Genomic DNA, 12,528 nt, shown 5'->3' on the forward strand with positions numbered 1-12,528 from the left:
GATTACAGGTGCCTCCACCACGCATGGCTCATTTTTTTTTGTATTTTTAGTAGAGACGGGGTTTCACCATGTTGGCCAGGCTGGTCTTGAACTCCTGACCTCAGGTGATCCACCCACCTCAACCTCCTAAAGTGCTGGGATTACAGGCGTGAGCCACCACACCCAGCCAGATATATGATTTCAAATATTTTATTCTAGTCTGTGGCTTTTTCTCATTCTCTTAAGATTCTCTTTGAAAGAGAAGATGTTCTTAATGATTAAAAAGTCTAATTCATCAGTGTTTTCTTTTATGGACCATGCTTTTGGTATTGTACCTAAGAAATATTTGCTTATTCCAAGGTCACAAAATTTTTCTTATATGTTTTCTTTTATAAACTTTACAGGTTTAGGTTTTATAAATAGGTCTGTGATCCATTTTGAGTTAATTTCTTAATATGGTGTAACATGTAGCTAGATCAAAGTTCATTTTTGCATATGGATATACATTTGTTCCAGCAGTATTTGCTGAAAAGACTGTCCCTTCTCCACTGAATTGCCTTTGTACCTTTGTTGAAAATCAGTTGACCATATACATGTGGATTTATTTCTGTAGTCTATTCTGTTCTGTTGATGAATATGTCTATCCTTGCCCAGTACCAAACTGTCTGCATTACTGTTAGTTTTGTAATATGTCTTGAAATCAGGTGGTCCTAGTCTTCCAACTTCATTCTTTTTAAAAGTTGTTTTGTCTATTCTAGGTCCTTCATATTTTCACATGAATTTTATAATCAGTTTGTCAATTTATACAAAAAAAGGAAATGTGACTGTTATTGGATTAAGTCTATAAATCAACTAGGGAAGAACTGACATTTAAACAATATTGAGTCTTCCAACCCAGCAACACAATGTATCTCCATTTATTTAGATTTTTAAAAATTCTCTTAGCAATGTTTTAAAGTTTTCAGTGTACAGGCATTTCACATTGTTTGTTAGGTTATCCCTAAATATTTCATCTATTTGATGCTGTTGTAAATGGTATTGCTTTTAATTTCACTTTTTCAATTATTTGTTGTTAGTATATGGAAATACAGTTGAGTGTTGTACATTGATCTTGTATCCTGCAACCTTGCTAAACTCATGTATTAGTTCTAGTAGTTTTGTTTTGTTTAGAGATAGGGTCTGGCTCTGTCACCCAGTTTGGAGTGCAGTGGCACAATCTTAGCTCACTGTAGCCTCAAGCTCCTGGATTCAAGCAATCCTCCCACCTCAGCCTTCTAAGTGTTTGGGTCTAAAGCTATGCACCACCATGCCCAGCTAATTTTTTAATTTTTTATAGAGACAAGGTCTCACTCTGTGCCCAGGCTGGTTTTGAACTCCTGACCTCAAGTGATCCTTCTGTCTCAGCTTCCCAAAGTGGTGGGATTACACTTTGGGTGGGTGAGCTACCATGCCTGCCCTGTTTCTTCCTTTTAAATGTTTCACTGGATTTTCTACATAGGTGATCAGGTCATCTGAGGGTAAAAATATTTTCATTCTTACTTTTTTTAAAAAGTAGGTGACTTTTGTTTATTTTTCTTACCTTATTGCACTGGCTAAAACCTCCAGTGTTGAATAGAAGTCGTGAGAGTGGATATCTTGTCTTCTTTCTGATCCTAATGGGAAAGGATTCGGTCTTTTACCATTAAAAATGATGTTAGGTATAGGTTTTTTTATAGATGCACATTATCAGGTTGAGGAAGTTCTCTTCTTTTTAAAATTTTTTTAACTTTTAAGTTCCAGGGTACCTGTGCAGGTTTGTTACATAGGTAAACATGTGCCAGGTGGTTTGCTGCACAGATCAACCCATCACCTAGGTATTAAGCCCAGCATCCATTAGTTGTTCTTCCTTATGCTCTCCCTCCCCCAACCTTCCCCAACAGGCCCCAGTGTGTGTTGTTCTCCCCATATGTGTCTATGTGTTCTCATAGTTCAGCTCCCACTTATAAGTGAGAACATGCAGTGTTTGGTTTTCTGTTCCTGCATTAGTTTGCTCCATCCAGGTCCCTGCAAAGGACATGATCTTATTCCTTTTTATGGCTGCATAGTATTCCACGGTATATATGTACCACATTTTCTTTATCCAGTCTATCATTGATGGGCATTTGGGTTCATTCCATGTCTCTGTTATTGTGAATAGTCCTGCAGTGAAGTTATGCATGCATGTATCTTTATAATAGAATGATTTATATTCCTGGGTATATACCCCGTAATAAGACTGCTGGGTCAAATGGTATTTCTGATTCTAGATCTAGTCTTGAACTCCTGACCTCAAGTGACCCACCCACCTCTTATTGTGGTTTTGATTTGCATTTCTCTTATGATCTGTGATGTTGAGCTTTTTTTCATGTTTGCTGGCTGCATGTATGTCTTCTTTTGAGAAGTGACTGTTCATGCCCTTTGCCCACTTTTTAATGGGGTTATTTTTTTCTTGTAAATTTGTTGAAGTTCCTTGTAGATTCTGGATATTATACCTTTGTCAGATGGATAGATTGCAAAAATTTTCTCCCATTCTGCAGGTTGTCTGTTCACTCTGATGACAGTTTCTTTTGCTGTGCAGAAGCTCTTTAATTAGACCCCATTTGCCAATTTTTGGTTTTGTTGCAATTGCTTTTGGCATTTTCGTCATGAAATGTCTATGTCCTGAATGGTATTGCCTAGATTTTCGTCTAGGGATTTTACAGTTTTGGGTTTTACATTTAAGTCTTTAATCCATCTTGAGTTAATTTTTGTATACGGTGTAAGGAAGGGGTCCACTTTCAATTTTCTACATATGGCTAGCCAGTTTTTGCAGCACCATTTATTAAATAGGGAGTCCTTTCCCCATTGCTCATTTTTGTCAGATTTGTTGAATATCAGATGTTTGTAGGTGTGTGGTCTTATTTCTGAGTTCTCTATTCTGTTCCATTGGTCTATGTATCTGTTTTTGTACCAGTACCATGAGGTTTTGTTTACCGTAGTCTTGTACTACAGTCTGATGTCAGGTAGCATGATGCCTCCAGCTTTATTCTTTTTGCTTAGAATCCTAAGCAAAAAGATATTGGGGCTATTGGGGCTGTTTTTTGGTTCCATATGAATTTTATAATAGTTTTTTCTAATTCTGTGAAGAATGTCAATGGTAGTTTAATAGGAATAGCATTCAATCTATAAATTTCTTTGGGCCATATGGCCATTTTCACAATATTGATTCTACCTATCCATGAGCATGAAATGTTTTTCCATTTGCTTGTGTCCTCTCTGATTTCCTTGAGCAGTGGTTTGCAGTTCTCCTTGAAGAGGCCCTGCACTTCCCTTGTTAGCTGTATTCCTAGGTATTTTATTCTTTGTAGCAACTGTGAATGGGAGTTCATTCATGATTTGGCTCTCTGCTTGCCTGTTGTTGGTTTATAGGAATGTTAGCAATTTTTGCACATTGATTTTGTATCCTGAGACTTTGCTGAAGTTGCTTATCAGCTTAAGAAGGTTTTGGGCTGAGACGATGGGGTTTTCTAGACATAGGATCATGTCATCTGCAAACAAAGACAGTTTGACTTCTTCTCTTCCTATTTAGATACACTTTATTTCTTTCTCTTGCCTGATTGCCCTGGCCAGAACTTCCAATACTAGGTTGAATAAAAGTGGTGAGAGACGCCATCCTTGTCTTGTGCCAGTTTTCAGGGGGAATGCTTCCAGCTTTTGCCTACTTAGTATGATACTGGCTGTGGGTTTGTCATAGATGGTTCTTGTTATTTTTAGGTATATTCCTCAATACTTAGTTTATTGAGAGTTTATTGAAGAGATGTTGAACTTTATCAAAGGCCTTTTCTGTGTCTATCGAGATAATCATGTGGTTTATGTGATGAGTTACGTTTATTGATTTGCATATGTTGAACCAACCTTGAATCTCAGGGATGAAGTCAACTTGATCGTGGTGGATAAGCTTTTTGATGTGCTGCTGGATTTGGTTTGCCAGTATTTTATTGAGGATTTTTGTATTGATGTTCATCAGGGATATTTGTCCGAGGTTTTGTTTTTTTATTGTGTCTCTGCCAGGTTTTGGTATCAGGATGATGTTGGTCTCATAGAATGAGTTAGGGAGGAGTCCCTCCTTTTCAATTGTTTGAAATAGTGTCAGAAGAAATGGTACCAGCTCCTCTTTGTACCTCTGGTAGAATTTAGCTGTAAATTCGTCTGTTCCTGGGCTTTTTTTGGTTGCTAGGCTATTTGTTACTGCCTGAATTTCAGAACTCATTATTGGTCTATTCAGGGATTCAATTTCTTCCTGGTTCAGTCTTGGGCAAGTGTTTGTGCCCAGGAATTTACCCATTCCTTCTAGATTTTCTAGTTTATGTGCATAGAGGTGTTTATAGCATTCTCTGATGGTTGTTTGTATCTGTGAGGTCAGTGGTGATATCCCCCCTATCATTTGTCATTGTGTCTATTTGATTCTTCTCTTTCTTCTTTATTAGTTTAGGTAACAGTCTATTTTATTAACTTTTTTTTTTTCAAAAAAAATCAGCTCCTGGATTTGTTGGTTTTTTGAAATTTTTTTTTGTGTCTCTATCTCCTTCAGTTCCACTCCAATCTTGGTTATTTCTTGTCTTCTGCTAGCTTTGGGATTTGTTTGCTCTTGGTTGTCTAGTTTTTTTAGTTGTGATGTTAGGTTGTTGATTTGAGATCTTTCTAGCTTTTTGATGTGGGCATTTAGTGCTATAAATTTCTCTCAACACAGCTTTCGCTGTGTCCCAGAGATTCTGGTACACTGTCTCTTTGTTGTCACTAGTTTCAAGGAACTTCTTGATTTCTGCCTTAATTTCATTATTCACCCAGGAGTCATTCAGGAGCAGGTTGTTCATTTCCATGTAGTTGTATGGTTTTGAGTGAATTTCTTATTCTTGAGTTCTAATTTGATTGTGCTGTGGTTGGAGAGACTGTTTGTTATGATTTCAGTTCTTTTGCATTTGCTGAGGAGTGTTTTACTTCTGATTATATGATCAATTTTAGAGTGCCATGTGGCTATGAAAAGAATGTATATTCTGTTGTTTTTGGGTGGAGAGTTCTGTAGATAACTATCAGGTCCATTCAATCTAGAGTTTAGTTCAGGTCCTGAATATCTTTGTTAATTTTCTGTCTCAATGATCTGTCTAATATTGTCAGTGGAGTGTTAAAGTCTTTCACTATTATTGTGTGGGAGTCTAAGTCTCTTTGTAGGGCTCTAAGAACTTGCTTTATGAGTCTGGTTGTTCCCATATTAGGTGCATATGTATTTAGGATACTTAGCGCTACTTGTTGAATTGAGCCTTTTACCATTATGGAATGCCCTTGTCTATTTTATCTTTGTTGGTTTAAAGTCTGTTTTGTCAGAAACTAGGACTGCAACCCTTGCTTTTTTCTGTTTTCCGTTTGCTTGGTAAATTTTCCTCCATTCCTTTATTTTGAACCTATGTGTGTCTCTGCACTTGAGATGGGTCTCTGGAAGACAGCATCTGGGTGTTTGCTGATGCTGACGGGTCTTTGCTCTTTGGCCAGCTTGCCATTCTCTGTCTTTTAATGGGGGCATTTAGCCCATTTACATTTAAGGTTAGTGTTGTTATGTGTGAATTTGATCCTGTCATCATGACGCTAGCTGTTTATTTTGCCAACTTGCTTATGTGGTTCCTTCATAGTGTCACTGGTCTGTGTACTTCAGTGTGTTTTTGTGGTGGCTGGTAAGTTTTTTCTTTCCATATTTAGTGCTTCCTGCAGGAGCACTTGCAGGGCAGTCCTGGTTGTAACAATTCCCTCAGCATTTGCTTGTCTGAAAAGGATCTTATTTCTTCTTCACTTATGAAGCTTAATTTGGCCTGATATGAAATTCTGGGTTGGAAATTCTTTTCTTTAAGAATGTTGAGGCCGGGCGCAGTGGCTCACGCCTGTAATCCCAGCACTTTGGGAGGCCGAGGTGGGCAGATCACGAGGTCAGGAGATCGAGACCATCCTAGCTAACACAGTGAAACCCCGTCTCTACTAAAAATACAAAAAATTAGCTGGGCGCGGTGGCGGGCGCCTGTAGTCCCAGCTATTCGGGAGGCTGAGGCAGGAGAATGGCGTGAACCCGGGAGGCGGAGCTTGCAGTGAGCTGAGATCGCGCCACTGCACTCCAGCCTGGGTGACAGAGCGAGACTCAGTCTCAAAAAAACAAAAAATAAAAAAATTGTTGAATATTGGCCTCCAGTTTCTTTGGCTTCTAGGATTTCTGCTGAGAGGTCCACTGTTAGTCTGATGGGCTTCCCTTTGTAGATGACCTGGCCTTTCTCTCTGGCTGCCCTTAACATTTTTTCTTTCATTTTGACCTTGGGTAATCTGATGATTATGTGTTTTGGGGTTGATCTTCTTGTGGAGTATCTTACTGGGGTTCTCCACATTTCCTGAATTTGAATGTTGGCCTGTCTTGCTAGATTGGCGAGGTTCTCCTGGATGACATTATGAAGTATGTTTTCCAATTTGGTTCCATTCTCCCCATCTCTTTCAGGTACTCCAATCAGTTGTAGGTTTGGTCTTTTTACGTAATCCCATATTTCTTGGAGGTTTTGTTTGTTTTCATTCTTTTTTCTCTATTCTTGTCTGCCTGTCTTATTTCAGAAAGACAGTTTTCAAGCTCTGAGATTCTTTCTGCTGCTTGGTCTACTCAGCTATAGACACTAGTGATTGGATTGTGACGTTCTCACGTTGTGATTCTCAGCTCCATTAGGTGTTTTATGTTCCTCTCTAAACTGGCTATTCTGGTTATCAGCTCCTGTAATGTTTTATCATGATTCTTAGCTTCTTTGCATTGGGTTAGAACATGTTCCTTTAGCTCAGCAAAGTTCGTTATTACCCTCATTCTGAAGGCTACTTCTGTCAATTCAGCCATCTCAGTCTCAGCCCAGTTCTGTGCCCTTGCTGGAGAGGTATTACAATCATTTGGAGAAGAGGCACTCTGGCTTTTTGAGTTTTCAGCATTTTTGCATTGATTCTTTCTTATCTTTGTGGGCTTATCTACCTTCAGTCTTTGAGGTTGCTGACCTTTCAATGGGTTTTTTTGGGGATCTTTTTTGTTTATGTTGTTGTTGCTGCTTTGTTTTTCTTTTAACAGTCAGGCTCCTCTTCTGCAGGGCTGCTGTGGTTTGCTAGTGGTCCACCCCAGACCCTAATCACCTGGGTCCCTTCTGCACCTGGAGGTATCACTATCACCAGCAAAGGGTGCAAAACAGCAAAGATGGCTGCCTGCTCCAAACTGACGCTGGCCCAAACACTCCTGTAAGAGGTGTCTGGGGATCCCTTTGGGAGTTCTCACCCAGTCAGGAGGAATGGGATCAGGGACCTGCCTCAAGAAGCAGTCTGGCTGCCCCTTGGGGGACTGGGTGCACTGCACTGGGGGGATCCCCTTTTGTCCAGACTGCCCAGACTCTCCAGAGCCAGCAGGCAGGAAAGGCTAAGTTGGCTGAACCACAGAGACTGTGGCCACCCTTCCCCTGAGGGGCTCTGTCCCAGAGAGATCAGAGTTCTGTCCATAAAACCCTGGCTGGAGTTGCTGAAATTCTCACAAGGAGGTCCTGCCCAGTGAGGGGGGATGGATCGGGGTCCCACTTAAAGAAGCAGTCTGGCCACAATCTGCCACAGCAGCTGTGCTGCGCAATGGGGAGGAAGTTCTGTTCTATGCTGTTTGTTGAGACTTTATCAGAAATTGATGTTGAAGTTTGTCAAAAATTTTTCTGTATCTACTGAGATGATCATATAGTTTTCTTTTTTAGTTGGTAAATGTCATGAGTTATTGATCAATCTTTAGATATTAAACAAAGCTTACATTCCAGGGATAAACCTCACGTTGTCACAATGATGTATTCTCTTTTTAACATTTGGTGATACTCAATTTGTTAAAATTTTGTTTAAAATTTTGAATCTATGTTTATAGGACATATTAGCCTATAGCTTTCCTCCTCCCTTCTTCTTCTTCTTCTTCCTCCTCTTCCTCTTCCTCTTCTTCTTCTTCTTCTCCTTCTCCTTCTTCTCCTCCTCCTCCTCCTCCTCCTTCTCCTTCTCCTCCTCCTCTTCCTTCTCCTTCTCCTTCTTCTCCTTCTCCTTCTTCTTTTTCCTATTCAATTTTGAAATCAGGGTAATACTGCCCTCATAGAATGAGTTGGGAATTACTTCTTTATTTTCAGTTTTTTTAGAAGAGTTTGAAGTTGAACTGGTAATATTTCTAAGTCACAGCTTAGTTGGGTGCCTGTGGCTCAGGTTTTCACATAAGAATACAGTCAAGGTGTCACAACAATACAGTCAAGGTGTCACCTGTTTCAAAGTTCACTGACATGGCTGTTAGCAAGCCCCAGGTACTTGCTGGCTGCAGGCTGGAAACATCAGTTCCTTGCCAATGGGGGCCTCTTTACAGGACAGCTTATAACACAACAGCTGGCCTCCCACAGAGTGGGAGTTAGTGGGACAATGAGAGAGCTCTAAGGTGGAAGCCACAGTTTTTGTGAACTAATGCCAAAAGCGACATCTCACTAAAAAGCAAGTTAGTAAGTTCACCTCATACTCAAGGAGAGAGGACTTCATAGGAGTGTGACTACAAGGAGGTGGGAATCATCGAAGAACATCTTAGAGGCTATCTACCATAGTTGTTTACAACATTACCTTATCCGTCATATCTACAGAATCTATAGTGATGTCACCTCTCCCATTCCTTATTTGGGTAATTGTATCTTATTTCTTTTTTTTCTGATCACTTTGGCTAGAGGTTGATCAGTTTTACTTATCTTCATAGCTTTTGGCTTTACTGACTTTTTTTTCCTATTGTTTTCTGTTTCCTATTTTATTTTCTAACCTGATCTTTATTATTTCCTTTCTTCTACTTACTTTGGGTCTCATTTGCTCTTTTTTTCTGTTTGTAAGGTGGAAGATGAGGTCATGGATTTGAGACATTTCTTCTTTTCTAATATGGGGTTTAGTTCTCTAGATTTCCCCCTAATACTGCTTTAGTGGCATCCAACAAATCTAGGTTGTATTTTCATTTTAATTCTGGTCAATATTTTCTAGTTTTCCTTTTGATTTCTTTTTTGACCATGGATTAAAGTGTTCTATGTAGTTTCTAAATATTTCAGGATTTTCCAGAGATCTTTCTGTTATTGATTTCCATTTTAATTTCATTGTCAGAAAACATAGTTTATATGACTTGAATCCTTTAATTTTTTTTTTTTTTGAGACAGAGTCTTGCTCTGTTACCCAGGCTGGAGTGCAGTGGCATGATCTCAGCTCACTGCAACCTCTGCCTCCCGGGTTCTCCTGCCTCAGCCTCCCAAGTAGCTGGGACTACAGGTGCATGCCACCACACCCATCTAATTTTTGTATTTTTAGTAGAGATGGGTTTTCACCATGTTGGCCAGGCTGGTCTCAAACTGCTGACCTCTGGTGATCTATCCGCCTCAGCTTCCCAAAGTGCTGGGATCACAGGCATGAGCCACTGCACCCGGCTTGAACCCTTTTAAATTTAATGAGACTTTTTCTATGGCCCAGAATATGATATATCTTGGTAAATGTTCCATGTGTACTTCAAAAGAATATGTATTCTGCTGTTGTTGGGTGAAAGGTAATATAAATGTCAATTGGGTCAAGTTGGTTGATAGTGTTCAAGTTTTCTTTATCTTTACTGGTTTTTGAAATTTTTATAAAAATTCAATATCTGCAACTGGATTTAAACATTTTTGTATTATTTTTATTGTGTTAAAATATTTTTCTTCCTCTCCTTTCTTGCATATACACACACATGAATACTCACACACACAGTCCCAAATTTAGAGACCACAGAATTGTAACGAAATAAAGCATCTGATTGTGATGCTGCATCTTTTAACAAATGTATTGTTCAATAAAACACTTTTGAAACTGGGTTATTTTATCTTTCCTTGTCTGACCTTGTAAGCCACTTAATTGTAAAATGTGTTTTTATTCACAATACCTCTTAATATTTTATTCTTTATGCCAAGTCATGCTCCCACTGCAAACAAAACAGGCAGCAAAATATTTAATAGAGTGAAAGAAATATAAGGGTTTCTAGTATAATGCTGTTTACAGGTGTTCCTGTTTTAACAGGATATATAAATACTTGATAAACCTTGTATTCTGCAAAATTATATGTAAAAATAATAGACTGTGGGGAAAATAGGATGGGGTCATAACACTCAAAACAGTTAACTTTGTAACAAGAGTATTAATAAAATATTAATTATTCCAACTAAAACACTACCACCCAGTAAATGTCCACTAGCATTTGTACCCAGGATCAAAGTCAACTTCTACAGTCTTAAATCTCAAGACACAGGTCCTCAGGGGCATTCATCTCCAGTAGATAACATTGTCAAAAAATTAAAAATCTGCTCTGGATCTGTGCTTTCTTTAACAATCAACTGAAGTTTTTAAACATAAGGCAAATGTCTTCTCCACTTCTTCATCTACTCCTACAGCCTCATCTTGTAGGGAAGACACAAGTTCTTAAGCCATTAAGCCAGACACTACTTGCACCAAGGGAAGGAACTGCCAAGCTTAAAGCTTCCTTTACTAGCTGTGAGAAAGCTTGCCCCTGAATGTTTAAATTATTGATTTGCTGGGGGAAAAGTAACATATGAATCAATGACATAATTTTCTTATTACCAACTGGGTAATACCAATTGAGTATTACTTTGCATTATAGAAACATGTTACAGCTGAAAAGACTGTACTCCATAGTTCTCTAACCTTGAAATGCATGATTTTCCCAGTCACTTTGTTGGCAGCAGCCACCGTTGGGATTTAAATCTCTTTCCTCCCAGGATCACTGGATGCATATTTACTGAGCACCTATTATATCCCAGAGTCTGTTCTAAATGCTGGAGACACAGTGGTGGGCACAAGAGGACAGGCAAAGTCCCTGTGTTCACAGAATTCCATTCTGGTAGGGGATACAGACAATCAACAGGTAAATCAACAAATATGGTAATAGCAGACTATGCTTGCTATAAGGAACATAAAACAGGCTGATAGGATATGGAATGAGATGAGGGGGTGATCATGGGTAGGGATACTACTTTAGATAGGATGATCAGGGAAGGTGTCTCTGAAGAGGTGACACTGGAGCCAAGACCTATAAGATGAGAAGGAACTAGTCATGGGAATATCTGAGGAGGACTTCCAGGCAGAGGGAACAGTACAGGAACAGTAAGTACAAAAGCCTTGAGATGGGAGTCAGCGTAGTGTGCTTGAGGAACAGAATGAAAAGTGGCTGAGGCAGTCTCTGGGGTATACTCTAGTTGGAGTGCCACGTATCACCACCATGCTGAGGCTGACCCAACAACCAATCACTGCTGCTTAACAATTCCACGTCCTCCATGCCTAACATGGCAAAACAGCATCCCAAAATGCAACTGACCAATTCTCATCTGAGTGTCAAATCCACAGGCAATGGAGCACGACATGCTTGGTCACCACACAGGGTAAGGCTGGAGTGGGGCTGGACGAGTTTGGCTGGTTTGAGGAAGTTGTTAATTTCTGATTGTGGGCTCCATCTAGAAGTCAGCTGTGGGCTAAGGAGAGGGCTGGAGCAGGGCTTCTCATGAGGCACCCTGGGACGGCTGTGGTAGGATGAGGGTACAGTGTGGGGGTGGGAGAGATGGGATGGGCCCTGAGGAAGGATGAAATTGCATCCAAGGCAAGGTGCTATAAGTCCCTTCAGAAAAAAGTCACCATTTTGCTTCTTTTGCGAATCCTGGGAGCCATACTTACCCTGATAAGCTGATGACTTTCTAGTCAGCCAGAATTATCTAGCAAATAGCCAGGTAGCAGTGCTTCACTGCTTTTGCAGAAACCCTAACTCACCCAGACTGGTTCTGCTGTGCTGTCCTCAAGTTTTTGTGTTGTTTTGGAATCCTCTACATGGTCTTCATTTTAAATACAGATACCTCATCTTCTCAGAAGGATTGTACCTCCATTATAGAGAGAGACTCTTCATTCTCTTCTTTGGATACCCTTGCAGTAGTTAGCACAATACCGACCTAGATCTTTCCCCTTCTCAACAGGTAGACTATTTCAGAGGGAATGTCTCATGTGGTTTAATCCTGTAGTGGGAGACCAGATAGTGGCTTGTGCTGCCAAAAGATACTAACATTTGGGATTTCATGATTGAGCTATGTGTGATGAGAAACTGGGCTGCTTACCTGTTCTTCCTGCAGTGAATTGTAAAGGCAAGAAAGAAAAGTATCAGCAGAAGTCCACAGCTGAGAAAAGTCCAAACAATACCCAAGAGGACAGGAGATAATGAAGAGATGGTCTTACTGCTGTGGTGGGAAGATGTCTGAGGACAGAATAAGGAGGAGCTGTTAGGAATGAAGGATCTTCTATAGGTCAAAAACAAACTGCCCCATCGTCACCAAGTGCTGGGAAATATGTATCCTGCATGAGCAGTTTCTCCTCCCACTCCTCCCCTTCCTCATCCCCCTTTCCCTCCACCTCCTCCTCCCCAACACCACCACCACCACATACATC

The 12,528-nt window shown here is 40.0% G+C and overlaps 1 protein-coding gene across 6 annotated transcripts in view, besides 1 other annotated feature; it reads right to left on the reverse strand.

Annotated features, from left to right (window-relative positions):
- The window catches only part of GPR156 (G protein-coupled receptor 156), a 119,745-nt gene that overhangs the window by 65,962 nt on the left and 41,255 nt on the right, over positions 1-12,528 (reverse strand). For 4 of the 6 annotated variants that reach the window (NM_001168271.2, NM_153002.3, XM_017005796.2 and 1 more), the window contains exon 3: positions 12,201-12,337. In NM_001168271.2, coding sequence (NP_001161743.1) covers positions 12,201-12,337 — 137 coding nt within the window. Of the gene's footprint in view, positions 1-1,558; positions 1,632-11,862; positions 12,102-12,200; positions 12,338-12,528 lie in introns of those variants that run through there. The other 2 variants (XM_011512487.2, XM_047447586.1) reach the window with 2 other exon arrangements.
- Positions 11,273-12,472: an enhancer, noted in NCBI's record as "BRD4-independent group 4 enhancer chr3:119961559-119962758 (GRCh37/hg19 assembly coordinates)". NCBI's record gives its function as "activates an origin of replication core promoter dependent on BRD2, P300/CBP, MED14 and CDK7 cofactors, and independent of BRD4, by STARR-seq in HCT116 cells {active_cell/tissue: HCT116}" and the evidence as "EXISTENCE:reporter gene assay evidence [ECO:0000049][PMID:35650434]".

Source organism: Homo sapiens, chromosome 3 (assembly GCF_000001405.40).
Source record: "Homo sapiens chromosome 3, GRCh38.p14 Primary Assembly".
NCBI classification, from domain to species: Eukaryota; Metazoa; Chordata; class Mammalia; order Primates; family Hominidae; genus Homo; species Homo sapiens.